This window comes from Homo sapiens, chromosome 7 (assembly GCF_000001405.40).
Source record: "Homo sapiens chromosome 7, GRCh38.p14 Primary Assembly".
Classification (NCBI taxonomy): Eukaryota; Metazoa; Chordata; class Mammalia; order Primates; family Hominidae; genus Homo; species Homo sapiens.
In genome coordinates this window covers 33,860,195-33,877,646 of record NC_000007.14, presented here as the reverse complement: position 1 = coordinate 33,877,646, position 17,452 = coordinate 33,860,195, and the positions used below count along the sequence as shown (strand labels likewise).

The following is a 17,452-nucleotide window of genomic DNA, read 5'->3' as shown; positions in this document are numbered from 1 at the left end:
ACATGAGCTCTCAAACAAATCTCCTATGAGCCTGCATTGTAAAGGGTGGCAGAGAAGAAGATAATGGACTCTCACCCCTGCACAAGATTGGGTTTCTTGGAAACACAGGACGTATGACTTGGATAGAAAATTATTCTTTGGGTACACAAACCACAGAAGGCTTTTTGATGGAACACAACTTTCAAAAATTAAAAGATTCCAATCTTGCGAAGTTTCAATTGGATTCATGTCCTTATAAAAGTCATTTTTATTTAACTTGGTAATTGCAAGGTCAAATCAAAAGTGAGCAGAGTGCAAACTTCTAAATCATGTCATTAAGCAGCCAAATTTATAAAATTTCCCATTATTAAGGAAAGGTATAGCCACTCAATGTTATTGGTAAAATCATTTTATTCTAAAAACAGCAACAACAATAGCAAACTTACTTGTAAAATGGCTAAAATGAAAAACAAAACAACTCATTTCCATCAACTTATTGTAGGAGAACAATACTGCCACATAAACAGCAATAAGACGAAGACTTCTATTTCTTTTGGTGTAATTGAAAGCATCTTGATAAATGTCAGCTTGTCTGTTGAATAAAATCCATGTCAACCTGTCACATAAAAATACAACATTTTTTTTTCATAATCTCATGAAGTCAAGGCATTCCCTGGGCTTCAAGCTTGTTCCAGTGAGAAACAATAAGATCTTTATGCAGCTATTCACTTTGAGGTATAAATAACCAGAACCCCAGATAAGAAAATTATATTTACAGCCTAACTTTATTATTTTAAAATTGTTGTTTTTCTCCTTAGCAGATCAGCTGACTGTGGATTGCTGGAAATCCCTGCACATTTTATCATGCCTCAGTCAGCAATATATTCTTGGCTTCAGAAACATTGATGTTGAAAACCGAACATCTGGTCTTCCCTTTCTACCCCCGCTTCTACCATTTCTCCCCCAAATAATCAGCATTTCCTCCTTTGCTTCCCTGGCTTGAGTAGCTTTAAAACTTGAATTTGGTGTATATTACATTATATTTATTTGGTTTTGAGCCACTTTGATACTACTTCCAGTTCTGTAAAGTTCTTAGCAGTGCCATTTCTGTTGTTCCTTTTTAGAAACCACTTAAAAGAAAGATTAAATGTTACTCTGATGGGTTGGATTAATTGGTCACTAGTAAAAGGAATTATATCGCTGCCCAAGGTGAGAATCCTATTTCTTTCCTCTCACCTATTATGGATATTTTTAAAACAGACCTAAATGGAAATCTTCCCATAATGACATTCTAGACCTGAAGCTTCTTATTTTTCTAGACCTGGAACTGAATGCAAAATGCAATGTGTATGTGGTATGCATGTTTTCTTTTACTTGACTTTAATAAGTTTCTCAAAATGATCTATAAGCCTTATATTTTAAGAACCACATTTCTAAGCCAAGAAGATTCATCACTTACTTTATATAAACCCCCAAATTTCCTCCTTGAACCACTGCTAATTTTCACACAGTGTGAGGGATACTGCTGAATATAAACTTGTCGGGTAGAATATAGAGAAAAGGCAAATCCAGAGTGATCCAACAGCATTCCCAAATGCATCCAAAATACTGGAGTGCAGGACGCAACCAGGATTATTTGAATTCCATTTGGATCCCCATAATTCCATTCTTTTTAAAAACGGGTCATCCTTTTCTTTATTATAATGAAGCATTCTTTAATATTTCTTGCCTCTCTGGTTGAAGATGCTTTTGAAAAGCAAGACTTTAGTTGTATATTTTTTCTGGATTCCCTAGCAATATATTTTGATGCAATCATTGAAAAATGTCATGCTCTCTCTGGGGTCTTCGCAGTCAATGGTAACTAAACATTTGATTGAGAAGTGTACTTTCTGTGGACTTTTTTAGGGTCACTGCGATGTGAACAGAACCCAGTAGAATTCACTTCTGCTGTTTCATTTTAAAATAGGGTTGAGAATGGAAATAATGCCTTTCTAAGTGGAACTGAACTTCAACTTTGAAGGGATGCTATAGATTTCTGAGGGAGCAAGAGCTTGTGTCTGGAACCCAGCATCTCCATGTGGTTAACAGCTTCTAAAATTTATCTCATGTGTTTAAGGTTTTTTGTATAAATTTAAGGGACTTCACATTTCTAACCAGTGTGTTAACACTTAGATTAAGACCACACTTACACACCCTTTTCTTACTTAAGAGCAATTAAATGGTGTACTAACAAGAAGAAAGTTACTTTATTTACAGTGTTGATGGAAAAATATTGGCAATGTGATAACTATTACTATAAAAATATGATTTTTTAATACTTCTAAACTAACCTTTGAAAAAGGCTGTGTCTTTTTTCTTTTTTTCAAGGCAAGGTTCTTGGAACCACTTGGTGAGTCTATATCGAATATTTTACTTTCTTTTTTCTGTGAGACAGCAAAAAGTTCATCCAAATAGAACCATGCTTCTACCACATAAATCACTCAGAAAATCTGGTAACTTTCCATGTGATTCAGTTAAATCCTTTAAATCCCACAGGAGAATTTACTTGCTTTTGGCATATTTCACCATATTAGGAGGAAAACCAGTCTCCAGGGACGTGGTGGTTAACGTGAATGGGCCAAAGGCAGATGTCCTAAACTCAGTTTTGTTAGCTTAGGCATTTTCAGATGGTGTTTCTCTTGGTCAAAGTTCCTCGAGAAGTTTCTTTTCTGTGTCCTCCGTCCCCGCTTAGGTCCCCCACAATGTCTTTAAAAGGACAGACCCTTTCCTTTTATAATTAAATATAAGATTTAAATGTAGAGGGCCGTTAACATGTTAAACTAAACCCAGCCTTACCTAACACCAGGATGGGTGGGTTTGAGTGCACAGCAAGAGATGCAGGGAGAATAGAAGAGAGCAAGACACTCGCTGAGAAGTGGAGGGGCTGAAGGAAGCAAACCAAGTCTTCTCCCATTTCTCAATTTTGCCCAAGGCTGGCCCACATGTTAGTGGATTCTCTGAGCTGAGATAGAAATCCACCTTCTGGAGGCGGTTGCTATTATATGGGTTGTGCAAACTCTAAACAACTTTACTCCAGAAGACTTTTGCATCCTGCATATTTTTAAGTTTTATTACATAAATATGAATGCACAATGCCCAGGAAAGAGGTGTTCTGTGTCCTAAGAAGAGTCACTGTTTGTTCATAGATGCTCAGGTCATGACTCACATGCTTTTTAAGAGACTTTTCTTTCAAGTGAATGTAAATGGGGTGGAGGAAGGGAGAGAGGGAGACAAAATCAGGGACAGAATGCCATCCACTATAAATTATATTGATGTCACAATGAAAAGAAATAGCTCCTCTGCAAGACTTCACATATTCAAGTCAACAAATGGCTAAGTGTTGTAAATATTTCCCAGTTCCATGGGTTTGAGAGTAAATTTTAAAAATCATATTGGGGCTCTCTGCTAAAGATAGTAGAAGTCCAGCCTCTCCCAGAGTCAGACTGGTCATTGGTCATCTCCACTCCTAGAAGAGTTTCAAACATCTGTACTTTCAGACTGGAGGAAATAAGGTAAGGAAGGAAACAAAAAGGAATGTTTTCAATGTGTGGCCTCTTACTCTACCCTCTTGAACAATCTCAGTAGATCCTGGTGAGACGCCCCTTCCCTTTCTTTTCGAGAATTTCTTCGATAGAAAATTTAGCATAGCAGAGCTATAGAATTTGGAGAATTTCTACATATATGCTTGATCTCTTTTGAAACTCAATAGACCTGCTAGCAGGGTAAAGAAGAAAAGTATTGCATTCAGTCTAACCCAAGGGGGACTTGGATCACCTAACCCAGATTCCCCAGGGCTCATGCTGAGGCTCATTCTTCCTTAATTCAAAACATGGGCTGTGTCTTGAAGTCTGAATGCGAAGGCTCAAGTTAGATAATAAGGTGCCATTTGTCCAGGGAGAAAGACAAAGCAAAACAGAAGAATGTGAGTAGATACCAAGGCATGCCAAAGAGTTTCCCATGCTTGTTGCCTGAGTGTAGTTAGGTGAAATACTTAAAGCCTGCCTCTGTGGCCTGAGCCCAGGCAGCCAAAGTGGGAGAAAATTGCTCCTTCAAAAGTTAGTGCTTAAATTAACTGCCCCCATCTCCACCACAGCCCCAGGTGTTGTAAAAACTGGATTAATCTAAGGTCTTTTTAACCCCCTACTTTGCATACATATTTAAATTCTGGGGCTCTAAGCCAAAATTCCCCAGTGGACCACCTTATCCTTTGTTAATTGAAAAAATAAACAGTTCTGTGGTAGTGGAGAGGGGTGTTTTCACAGAAATGTCTTTGATGCTAAGGCTGCTTTAGGGATACATTTCCTGTGCCTTCCATGAAGTATAGCACAAGACAAACTCAAGGACCTCAAAAAACAAAGGGGCAACCAATAGTCAGGACCCAAAGTGTTTTCTATAAAGGCGATTGACGGGTGGTTACACTTACCCTGACTCAGGTTAAATCCAGGAATGGTGAGGGGTTTGGGGAATAACAGCCTATGCATTCAACACTGCCCAGAAGTCAGAGCTCAGCACAGTGTGGGTGTGACCAACACATGCACACCAGGCTACCGCTTCTCCTCTCTTGAAGTGGTGACAGCTTATGAAATTCTAGCTGCTACTGCTGATTCAGCGGAAGGAGTCCATGGAATGTTATTGCCAACCACTATTTCTCCATTAACTTATCTATACCCACCATGGGTCATGGGAAAGAAAAGTTTATCAATATTGCATTTGTTTTTACTTGGTGTGAGAGGTGGAGGGAAGCTGGCATGTGCCTATAATACACAGTTATATTAGATTGACAGGATTTAAATAAGCGTGAAGACCTAGCGGAGTGTTACTTTCCCTTATGCAAAGGATTTTTTCCAAAGGGGTGAAGAACATACATTCTCAAGGTATCTGCTGGACCCCTATTGACTTCTGTAGGGATGGCACTGTGTCTGAGAGGCCAAAGAAAAGACCTACAGCCAGCGAACGAAATACAGGCTTTATTGAAGACTTACCTATCGGGTGGTCCAGGGACAGCGGATTAGGCAGGAAGACCCACTATCGTTTGTAAAAAGTATGCAGTGTATATAGCATTTTGGCTTAGCAACCTCCACCTAGCAACCTCCATTTAACCCAAAACGAAGGGCCTTCCCCTCCCCGGATGGCCTGTATTTCAAGGAACGGGCCAGGAGTTCAGATATTCTTCGTAAAGAAGGAGTGAATCTCCAGGTTGGCCACTCCCGTATTCCTTAGCTTGAAACTGAAACAAAATTCTTCCTAGATCATACGGCCATTCTCTGGGTTTGCTTAAGTTATTGCTGTCAGGTGCATCTGCCATACACACGGTAGAAAGGGACACTTTAATGTGTGGTAAAATAAGAAGCATAGTTTTGTAGACCCTGCAACTGGATGGACTAACCTGTTAACAGGCCTACACCAGTAATCTGAGAGCACACAGTCCAGTGTGCTAGCTAAAAGCACCTGTGCTGAAGTCAGGCTGCCTTGGGTTCAAATCCTGACTTCTGCCACTTAGGTGAGTGACAGTCTTCAGAGTCTCTAAGAAGCAGACCCCAAGGCAAAGATTCAAGTGATCCATCAACAAAGAACTCCCCAGGGAAAGTGGTAAATGAGAAGCCCACTACAGAAGGAGAAGTAAAGAGGTGTGATTTTGGTTGAAGGCCAGTCACAACCTGATTCTCAGGGAGCTCAGGAGTGTAAATTGCACCCCAGAATTCATCCAGAGGCAAAGAAGCTGATCTTTGGTTCACCAATTGGTCATCAGCTAGTAGGTGGAGGTTCAGTAATCAACTCCTGGATGCTTGGCTACAGGTGAGGCGGCTATGGCAGCCCACAGGCAAGCCTTTGAAGAATTTTCCAGCCATAAGCCCTTGGCAGCAAGGCACACGGAACTGGGGAATGGGTGCAGAGCACTGGTGATCATGACCACATGGGCACTTGACAGGGGTGCCAAGGGTGTTCACTGTAGTGAGTATGGACACACTTCCTAATTTCTCTGGGTCTAAGTTTCCTTCTATAGAAAATGGGGACAGGGTCGGGCATGGTGGCCATGTCTGTAATCCCAGCACTTTGGGAGGCTGAGGCGGGTGGATCACCTCAGGTCAGGAGTTCGAGACCAGCCTGGCCATCACAGTGAAACCCCGTCTCTACTAAAAATACAAAAATTAGCCACATGTGGTGGCACGCCCCTGTAGTCCCAGCTACTCAGGAGGCTGAGGCGGGAGAATCGCTTGAACCCGGGAGGCAGAGGTTGCAGTGAGCCGAGATCATGCCACTGCACTCCAGCCTGGGTGACAGAGTGAGACTCCGTCTCAAAAAAAAAAAAAAAAAATTGCTAAGGACTCCAAAGAGCTTAGTTTATGTGGGGTATAGCTATCAATATTTTCCATATTAGAAACTGAAACTGAGAAAAATTTTAAATATTAATTACTTAACTGTAAAGTAATAATTACATGTTAAAGTAAATTACACATTTTATGAAAAATAGCTATATTTTCCAAAACAGAAAAAAATGAGAGAATAGTGGCATTGTTTTACATGTTTTCAAATTTCTTTAATATCTGGTTCCGTAAAGATAGCAGGATTCTCCTCTCTGCTTCTGTGTTGCTTACTTTGCAATATGTTGTTTTGGTTGAAGTATAGAAAGAAAATCCAGCTTCACATAGTTATATAGTTGGAAAAGCAGGAATATGTTCCAATTTTCTCAAATAATTTTAGGTATTTTTCTTTCACTATACTCCAAAACTCTACACATGTTAGTTTTAATAAAGGTGAGTTGCAGAATAGAATTTGAAACCAGGTAATTGAACATTTTATACTCAATTACATTAAATCCATTGCCTATCTTTCATGTTGAGTGTATTATTTTATCCACACATGATTTATAACCTAATATATTGGAAAATATTACACTGAATTATGCAAATCTTCCCAATGTTGACACGTTTCATTTACAGTATTTTAAAATACCATTTATAAATAATGCCACTGATCCTATCAGAAAACTCTTTAAATATTGAGAAACTTTCAGGCTCAGAGTAAAAGATAAAAGTTTTCCAAATTCAATTTTCAGTTGAAAGCTCAGATTTGCACTGTTCTAATTACCGTTGAGACTGAGAAGCCATCCCTGGCCCTCCCAGGCTGGGTCAGGGACCCTCCTGGAACAGTATCCCTTCCTGGCCTCTGGCGCAACACTTGCCACATTCTATTGAGATTATCTGCTTTGGTCACTGTGTCTCTCACTAGACCATGAGCTCCTTCCAAGCAGAATTATGTCTTCTATCTCCTTGTCCTTAGTACCTCACACATAAACATTACTCAGTGAGGGAATGATTGAATAAATCCCTGGGAGTGATGAATGCACTGACTACAGGAATCTGTCTCACATTCCCAGACAGGAGATTTTGTTATCATGTAAATCCTATGCATGACTGAAAATGTAAGCCGAGCTGAAGTTGCCTTACAAACATAGATGTCACACGGGTGATGCAAAAACACACACCAAAGAAATAAAGGTCTGTCTTCCTCTGGGGCAAGGGCCCAGAATAAAAAGGCCAAATGGAAGCAGGGACAAAAGACAGACCCTGTGAAGTGGGCAGCAGAGTGGGTGGGTCATACACGGGGTGTGGAACCATTTGTGGGGGAAGGGAATAGAAGGAGGTTTGAAAGGAAACAGAAAATAAGGAATGGGAAGCACAAGTCCAGCCAGAAGAAAAGAAGAAAATAGGAGGCAACAAGACTAAAGGATGGCAGAAAAGTTGAGGAAGAAAAGAATAACCAGAGCCCAGCCCTCGCTCAGCAGCCACAGACAGAATAAGAAAGGGGCAGAGACAGTAAGGAGAGGTGGATGTGAGCACAGCAGATGGACGGCAAAGAGAATACTTTGAGATATTTTCCATGTAGAATTTGTCTACCCGCTAAATTCCTCACAGTCCCACCCCACCTCCTGGCCCCAAATTAATGTTTATTTGTGCAATGAAATTGTGTCTCTGCATTTGTCTACACTGGAAAGAAGGCCTTCTCTTATCCAGATATTTTTCTACTCACTTTGAAGAAGCCCTGAGCGACCTTTTCTGTAGGACCACATTTACAACCATCTACATTCGGTCCATAATGATTTCGTGTATTTGTCCTCTGTGTCCAGGACCCAGTGGTTGTACTGGAGAATTTTATCCCTAAGCCCTGCCTGACAATACAACGAAACTGACATCAAGGACGAGTGAAGAAACAATGAACCAGACAGTCTATAACCAGCATGGAACACTATTGTGTGAGTCAATGTCTTCTGATGAACATCTGTTCCATGGCATCGTAATAGTCATGGCATGAGAATAAGTTAGGGACACTCAGGGTTAAAGAAAATTCAACAGGCTTCTTTATTGTAGGGATTCTTAAAGGTAATCTTCACTTTGGGAAGACAGCACACTGTATCTCCCCAGTTTATTTACAAACAAGGCCTTTTTTTGCTGAGCCAATATCTCTCAGGATAAGCCCCTGAAGACCACAGTTTGGAAACATTAGTATAAACTCTAATGGCAGAGAGAGGGTCTGTGAGGCCTCAGAAGCTCCTGGACAGGTTGGAAAGCCACAGACTTAAAAATAATTTCTAACAAGTGTTAAGATATTTCTGTTCCCTTGGGGTCCCTTCTGCAAATTTCCAATAATCCATTAACCTAGAGTCAGTTTTTCAGGTTAGGTTATTACCACCATAGACAGACCAAGGCAGAGATGAAGTCCAAGGCTAGAAAATATCAGAGGGAGTTCTTCCCCATGTCAGGTGCGCCCTCTCCCAGGTGCCTGCATGGCCGACTCTCTTTCCTCCCTCAAATCTCCTCAAACATCATCTCTTCATCGGGTCCTTCTCTGATTGCCCAGTCTAGAATTACAGACCCATTCCCCTGTGCTCCTTCTTTCTGCTGCATTTTTTTCTATCCTCCTTCTCAACATCTAACATACTATTTAATTTAGTTATTTATTTTGTTTCATTACTGTCTGCTTCTACCAGAATGCAGTCTCCAAAAGGGCAGGAATTTTCATCTCTCTTGCTTACAACCGAAACTCCAGCATCTGAAGCAATGTCTGGGGAATATCAGCCACTCCGTAAATCTTTGTTGAGTGAATGAATAAATGAGTACGAGAAAGAAGGAATGCTGGGTTTTTAGTTGAGGTTATGGAGCATGTTTTACATTTCTTTGTCGCATCCCTCCATCCTCCAGCCTCTGAGCCTCTGGGTCTCAGCAGGCTAAGCAGTCACGGAGATCACATTCTGATCTTGTGACACTGCCCCAACTCCAGCCCTCTGAAGCCCTGGGTGTTTGGTATCCTGGAGGTGAAACAGCAGCAGCCTTTGCGTTTCCAAGGCTGTGTCACTCAGCGACATCACACAGCCACCCACAACAGGCCAGCTTGCGAAATTGTTAAGGAGCCTGAGGATATTATTTTCATTTCCACACAAACATAAATGATCAGATATAAGCGTGGAGCTGCTGCTCTGGAAAATAACCATCAACCATCAAGGGAATGTGGCATAGTTTCCTTAATATTCCTCCAAATACTCCATATTTAGGGTATGTGCTAATTTCTCTCTCTTATAAGTAACTCTTTTTTTTTTGGACGGAGGCTCACGGCCCAGGCGAGTGCAGTGGCGTGATCTCGACTCACTGCAACCCCCGCCTCCCGGGTTCAAGCGATTCTCCTGCCTCAGCCTCCCAAGTGGCTGGGATTACAGGCACCTGCCACAATGCCCAATCAACATTTTAGGATATAACTCTTTTATATTTAGTTAATGTATTTGTGGAACATATTTAAAAACATAAGTGCTGAATCAAAATTTATGGACCCTTTTAAGTCTTTTAATACATAGTTCTAAATTTCTTCCTAAAAGAATTAACAGTGAAGGAGAACACATCATTTTCATGCAATGGATATTTTAACTTCATGTAGAAGAATACCAACGTTTTAGGCAGGAATTTACATTCTCCTTTGAGAATGTGAAGCCCTTATCTTATTCACTTTTTAATCGCTACAGCCTCGTGCATAACTGATGCTCAATAACTATTTGTTGAATAAATGAAACAACACCGATGAATTTTTATTGAGTTTTTTGATCAATTTCTATACAAGGCAATTTTTTAAATTCCAAACTTTTTCTTATTATTTTTATTTTTACCAATATTGTCTTCATCAAAGTCAATTCTTTGACCTTAAATTGCATGACCAATTTTTGATTAATCATTAAAGATTTTTTCTCTGTATTAAGCATTGCAAATTAAAGCCATTGTCTACTACAGATTTTATTCTGTGATTATTTATTTCCATCAAGTTCAATTTCCTGAGATCAATTATTCAGATTTACCTTTTAAAAGATGTTTGTTTTTATTCTTCCATCGATTTTAGTCAAAACGAATGTTACCATGTGTAGTTTAACTATGAGCAATTTTATTTTATTTTGAGTATTTCTTACCTAAGTTATTCAATTTTGGTGAATTTTTGTCATTTTTAATCTTACAAACAAGAAGTGACTTTTTAGGCAGTTAATCATATAACACTGAATCTTTAGTAATATATAGTATGAATTGAATAACAGTTTTTATTTTATTAAACTGTCACAAAATTGTGATTCCTCTCAGATACTGGAAGGTTGTTCTTTTATGAAAGTATCCTATCACTCTCAAAATCTTCTTTCAACTTTTATGAATTCTGAAAGGTGCTATGGTAAAGTCAACACATCCTTGGGTAAAAATGGTACGAGTGCAAACATTGGGGTCAAAATGTTCTGCTTTGGATTAGAAAAGGCTCAATGCAAGATGTTAAATTTCAGTTAGGCATGGAAGAATAATTAAGATTTGCTGCCAGAAGAAAGGCGTACAGATGGTTTTCATGCAGCTACTTTTCTCCATAACTTTGACTCCACCATTTGACCAGGTGGTAGTCGGATCCCACCCTTCTAGCCCATTTTGACTCATGTTTATATATTTTTCATCCAAATTTTGCCAACACTGACAAATCATCTTCTCCTAAAATCTTTCTTGGATGAAATGTATTTTCTGAATCAAATGCTATTAAATCATTTTACTTCTTTTAAATTATATACCACACATTTAAACTTTTTAAAATAGTTTTTCCATTTTCATTTTTGTTCTGAAGTTTTATCAGATTATTTTCCTTGTAAATTTTAAGATGTTATGCAACACTTTTTTATTATTCATAAAGAAAAAAGGTTTAATTGACTCACAGTTCCGCATGATTGGGGAGGCCTCAAGAAACTTACAATCATGGTGGAAGGCACCTCTTCACAGGGCATCAGGAGAGAGAATGAGAGCCAGCAGAGGAAATGCCAGATGCTTATAAAACCGTCAGGTCTCGTGAGACTCACTCATTATCAAGAGAATAGCATGAGGGAAACAGCCCCCATGACTCAATTACCACCGCCTAGTCCCACCCTTGGACACTTAAGGATTATGGAGATTATAATTCAAGGTGAGATTTGGGTGGGGACACAGAGCCAAACCATACATTTTTAATTGAGCTACTTTTTTATGCTGGGCAGTGTTCTAGATACTGGGATATAGGAATAAGTAAGACAGATACAGATTCCTGCACTCATGCAATTTAATATTGAATCATGAATCAGGGCTTTGTTGTTGTCTAGAAATAATTTTAGCATAATAATCTCTTCCTATGTGGATTTTCCTCTTGAGGCCACTATTTCTAACAAGTTCAATGTTTTTGCTCCAATTTTACTGATTTAGTTTTGGTTAAGAAGACTTGATTCTTCTATCAGTTTTTTTGTTTATTCGTCTGTATCTTAGTTGTGGACAGTTTTTTTTCATGTTGATTATTTCTAACAAGTCTATTTTTTTCCTGAGCCAATTTTTGCTGTATCCAATATGACCAACATGATATGATCTTTTAGATGATTTTCATTTATAACAGATTGTATTCATTTATAACCGATTGTATGTATGTATAACATACATTGTATGCTGCATACAATGTATGCATACATTGTATGCTGCATACAATGTATGCATACATTGTATGTATGCATGTTGCATTGTATGTATGTATAATTTATAACAGATTGTATGTATGTATAACAGATTATATTCATTTATATGCAGATTGTAGCCATTGTCAATTTTATTTTGTGTTGATAATTTCTGAAAAGCCAAAATTTTCTCAAGCTACTCAGTAAAAAAGCCCTTTGGGTTAAATTTGCAGTGTCAAAACTTCAGAGTATATATATTTTTAAATCCTTATCAAAATAGTCTGATTTTGTGAATTGTGATTCTAGACTTCTTATTTTGAAAGAATGGAATGAGAAAACATGAAGAGTCATGGATGTTTACAGTGGCACTTCTTAGATTTTAATGTGCACATGAATAATGTGGGCTCTTGATAAAATGCAAATCCCGATTCAGTGAGTCTGGGTAGGGCCTGAGACTCGGCATTTCCAACAACTCACCAGGTGATATCGATACTACCAATCCACAGGCTGAATAGCAAGAAGCTAGAGTGTGTTGCTTTGTGGTTCAGCAGGCCTGGGTTCTAGCCCCTTGCTGGCTGTCTAATCTTGAAAAAGTTACTTAACCTCTGAATCTGGTTTTTTTCATTTGTAAAATGAAATGGTAATAATATTATCTATCTAAGAGATGTGTTGTCAGGAGCAAATAAGATGAGTTATGTAAAATGTTTAGCACAGGACCTGGCACCTAGTAAATTATGAATGGTAATTAACCCTTGTTAACTGATGGGTGAAAGCACACAGCAGGTTCAGGGAATGAATGGTAAGGGGTTTGAGGTGGCATAGAGCCTGGCTACTGAAAATGGACCAGCAGCATCCGGAGGCTTGATAGAAATGCAGATTCTCAGACCCCACCTCAGACCTATGAATAAGAATGTGCATGTTAAGAGATCCCCTGGATATTTCTGGGCACCTTACAGTTGGAGAAGTGCTGGCACCATATTTAAAGACAGGGGGATGGAAGCAAGTCTGGAAGGGCAAGAAAAGTCAGATAGTAAAGGGCCTGACTTACCTACTAAGGATCTTGAACTTTTTTTTTTTTTATTTGAGACGGAGTCTCGCTCTGTCGCCCAGGCTGCAGAGCAGTGGCGCAATCTCTGCTCACCACAACCTCCACCTCCCGAGTTCAAGCAATTCTCCTGCCTCAGCCTCCCAAGTAACTGGGACTACAGGCACGTGCCACCACGCCAGGCTAATTTTTTGTATTTTTAGTAGAGACGGAGTTTCACCATGTTGGTCAGGATGGTCTCAATCTCCTGACCTCATGATCAGACCGCCTCAGCTTCCCAAGTGCTGGGATTACAGGTGTGAGCCACCAAGCCCGCTGATCTTAAACTTTTTTTAGAGGGCTATGGGGTGGCAAATATCCACACTTCCTACCCTCCCCTGCGTCCCCTTCCCTCCCTGCATCTTGTCCCCTCTCTCCCCAACCTCCTGTCAGGTACTGTTCATCAATCCAGGCTCTTTCCAGCTGAGCCTCTGTTCATCCTCATGATCCTTACTAACACAGTGCCACAGACAGGGCACTATCAGTGGATCCAAGTTGACAGAAATGAGAATTTGCCATCACTGCAAGAGACCAAAGGGAGCCACTAAATAACTTTAAAAGGGAAAAATGAGATAGCATGTGTAAGTGCTTAGACAGCACCTAGTATCCAGTAAGCGCTCAATAAAGAGACGTCATCATTATTTCTGTCTAGCCTAGCAACACTGTCAACATTTGTTGTGCCAACATTTTCACCAGACAGTGAGTAAATGAGAAAATGTAAGACAATGAATTAACGTTTTTGGTATTACAATGCCCATTTTTATGTGAAATGATGGGAAGAGTAGAAAAATTTTTTTTTAATTTTCATATGACAAAATGAAAACTTTAGCAGTTCCATGTTCTCTTCTGCCCATTTTCTGCGTTGTTAAAGAATGACACTGTGAACACCCGCAGGTGATGAGGGTTTATGTAGATGGGCCGTGGGTAGTTGGGTGGCTTTGTGCTGCTGAAAACTCCGAGCAGAGTGGACCAGCCCTTCTTACTGTTCTCCCTCTCCTCACCCCACAATGTCTGCTTTTGAACAAGTAAGAGTGAGAATGTTTTCTCTTGCAAATTATGAAAGTTCTCCCTCTTACCATATCACATCAGCATTCACTCTGCACTTAGAGGAGTAGTGCTGACAAGAAGGAGTGGGAGCCTGTGACAAGACCGGCAGTGGTGGCAAAAAGCCATCATGAAGGATTCAGCTCCAGCTATCCTCATGAAGTCTGCCCAGGCAGCGGTATTTAAGAGGGAGAAGGTAGAGTCTCCCTATCAGCAGCCCTCAGAGGCTAAAACGGGTAGGATTAGCCCAGTCCAAGGACCCAGAGTTGAAGAGGGTTGCTTTGCATGAGACGACCCGAGAGAACTTTTGCAATGTGAGCATCAGACTTTTGGACACAAGTGAACTGCTGGCTCCATTTTCTGGAGGCTGCACTGCACCAGGATACCCTCAGCGCTCAGAGCCAGCACTGGCTTTGCAATGCATGTGCTTCTGCTTCCAAGTGCTCAGCTCTCCCTGAGAGCTCACTCAGTGTTTCAAAGACCAAACTGTTCTAACAAGCCCAAGAACCAAAGCCCATTGAGGTTTAAAGCTTCTCTTGTTTAAAAACATTTTGTATTTACTGCCTTTTTATTTTTTAGATCAAACACAGGAATCTGTGTCCTGTAGTAAACCACCCGCTCCTTCTTCCTATACTCCCTGGTGTCATGTATGTAGTTGCACTGCCATCTGATTCTAGAACATTAATATGCAAATAGAAGTAATAACAATGCCATATAGTGAAATACAGTGTTATTCTTCAACTGGTCTCTTCTTGGCAGAGCAACCCAAGAGAGAGAGGGGAACCAGAGTTCAGAGCTGCAACCTACGAGGATGAGACAGGAACCCCATTTACTACCACACTATATGCCATATTTCCCATGGGGGCCTTCCTTGACTTCTTTTTGAATATTCAATTTACCCAAGCTCATCATTAATTCACTTTCAAAGTGTGATATCAACAGACTTCCCATAAAAACATCTCTCAAATAATGAAGGCTTTGGTTCTAATGGGTTGCTTTGAAATGGCAGCCCTTACAAACATGATTAAAAGTCTCCATTGGAGCTTATTATTAATGAATAAGATTTTGTACGTATGCATATGAGGCCTTCTCCTGAAAAAGATTTCAAATTCTGTTCCCAGTGAGGCTCAGGGCAAACATCACCACTTCCCATCATGAGTAGATACACTAGGGCTGGTCTGTGTGGCCAACAGAAGCCATGACTGAAAATACAAAGTATTTTAACCTTTTACCAAAGGATCAAAAAGAAAAAGAAAAAAGAAATAGTGCTGACCACCTTCCAGCTGTTTTGCTGTATTAACAATGTCTTTTGTTTTCTGTATTCTGATGCTTTGACCTCTGGGGCTTTGCTCACCCTAAAGAGATGACCCCTCTCAGGGTTAGCCAATTCCTAGAGATAGTAAATGACTCAGCACAGAGCACTTTTAAACACAAACCAACCACTCCAGAGGGCCAGCCATCTCCTTTATAGGCCTCTCACACTCCAGGCTACCATCCACCTGCCCTAATCACCCCAGGGCCAGGTACCAGACAACTAGGGACAGTCCCTGTGCCCCAGATCCTGCTGAAATTGTTCCAATCAGCCAATCCTCAGCCTGCTTACCCTGCCTTGCCTGTTCCTTTTCACAAAAACACAGTGAAGGCCTCTGCCCCCAGTGCTGTCCCACCTCTGCCTCCTGACTGACCCCTTAACTGACCTGTGCACCCCCCATGACATGGCATACCCCTTCTCTTGGGATCTGTGAGTAACACACTTTCTTTTCAATAGTAGTCACCTCCTGCTGTGCTGGTGTTACCATACCTCAAATTTTCTATTAACTTTATAGAAATTTATAACTATTTTAAAACATAGTTATAAAGCATAGACTTTATAGTGCTGGACACCTCATTTGCTCACCAGGTGAGAGCAGCACATCTCTAGTTCTTTTATTCCCCAGTTCTTCCAGTGAGCACCTGTCATCCTGTTTCCCCATAAGCTTTTTTCCCTATGCCCCTACTCCTGACCAGGATGGTTTGTGTCAGACTTGCTACTGCCATTAGGCAATACATTGACATTCTGACAGCTTCAACCTCAACACCTCCCAGGTATCCCTGGCCCCCAATTTGAGAAACAACCCTGAAGCTGCTCACTGCAATTACTTCTGCCAAAGATTTGGGTTTATTTCATTTTATCCTTAGGGGGGATTACAGAGATGTTGTTACACCTCCCCATCCGGAAATTCCTTGGAAGCCTCTGAAAATGATCCCCTTTCTATGGATATTGAGGGTTCTTGGATTGGTAAAGAAAATATTTCTCTCCTTCCTTCCCCAAACAGTTAATTTCTCTGGGGCCTTATTTCCTTTGAGAAAGAGACCTCTGCCACCAGTGTGAGAGAGCGGAGAGATCCATTTCCCTCTATTTAAGCTCTCATCATGTGCTTATTCTCCTCTGGGAGGATTTGGTAACAATTCTCTACACAAAGAGGACCTACGTTCACATTCAATTTTATGAAAGCCAAGGTAACTGCTTTTAAAAGGTATGCAGGGTCCAAAAGCTCTTCTGTCACTGAACCTGAGATATGCAAGGAGATGCTTGGCTTCAGCTCCCCTTCAGCCCCTATCCTCCAAAGAAAAGAAACAAGGAAAGACTTTTTTTTTCCAATGCTAAACTTGTATCACAGGATTTGGGAGTCTAAGGTGACTTCCATGTGTAGGGTTCCTCCGCTAATCTATGTTTCCCTAGCTTACGGCCCATCCACTCCCACCCCTGTTTTCGTGCTGCTGATAAAGACATACTCAAGACTGGGCAATTTAGAAAAGAAAGAGGTTTAATTGGACTTACAGTTCCATGTGGCTGGGGTAGCCTCACAATCATGGTGGAAGGCAAGGAGGAGCAAGTCACATCTTACATGGATGGCAGCAAGCAAAGAGAGCTTGTGCAGGAAAACTCCACCTGATAATAACCATAAGATCTTGTGAGACTTATTCACTATCACTAGAACAACACAGGAAAGACCTGCCCCCATGATTCAATTACCTCCCACTGGGTCCCTCCCACACTATGTGGGAATTCAAGATGAAATTTGGGTGGGGACACACCCAAACCATATAAACCCCTAACACAGTTGCCTATTTCTCTGTAATATTTCACCTGAAATGGAGGCAATGTTCAAGCCACAATAAACATAACTCAATAATATAGGAGAGAAGAAAGAAGAAAACATAGAATTGATCTAGCTGCTCGTTGTTGCAGGGCTTTTGACTGAATTTGGGTGTGAGCTGGGAGACTCAGGCTCCCCAGAGACAAAATGCCTAGTTTAGATGCTTGGCATATCTGGGAAAGAATTCCCAAC

General features: G+C 40.5%; 1 long non-coding RNA gene across 1 annotated transcript; it reads right to left on the bottom strand.

Moving 5' to 3' along the window:
- Positions 1 to 372: 372 nt before the first annotated feature.
- LOC124901613 (uncharacterized) lies at positions 373 to 17,055 on the bottom strand. Its single transcript, XR_007060282.1, has 2 exons — positions 16,942 to 17,055; positions 373 to 595 (listed from the first exon to the last, which is right to left on the bottom strand). It is a non-coding gene; the product is annotated as an uncharacterized LOC124901613 (long non-coding RNA).
- Between the last annotated feature and the right edge of the window lie 397 nt (positions 17,056 to 17,452).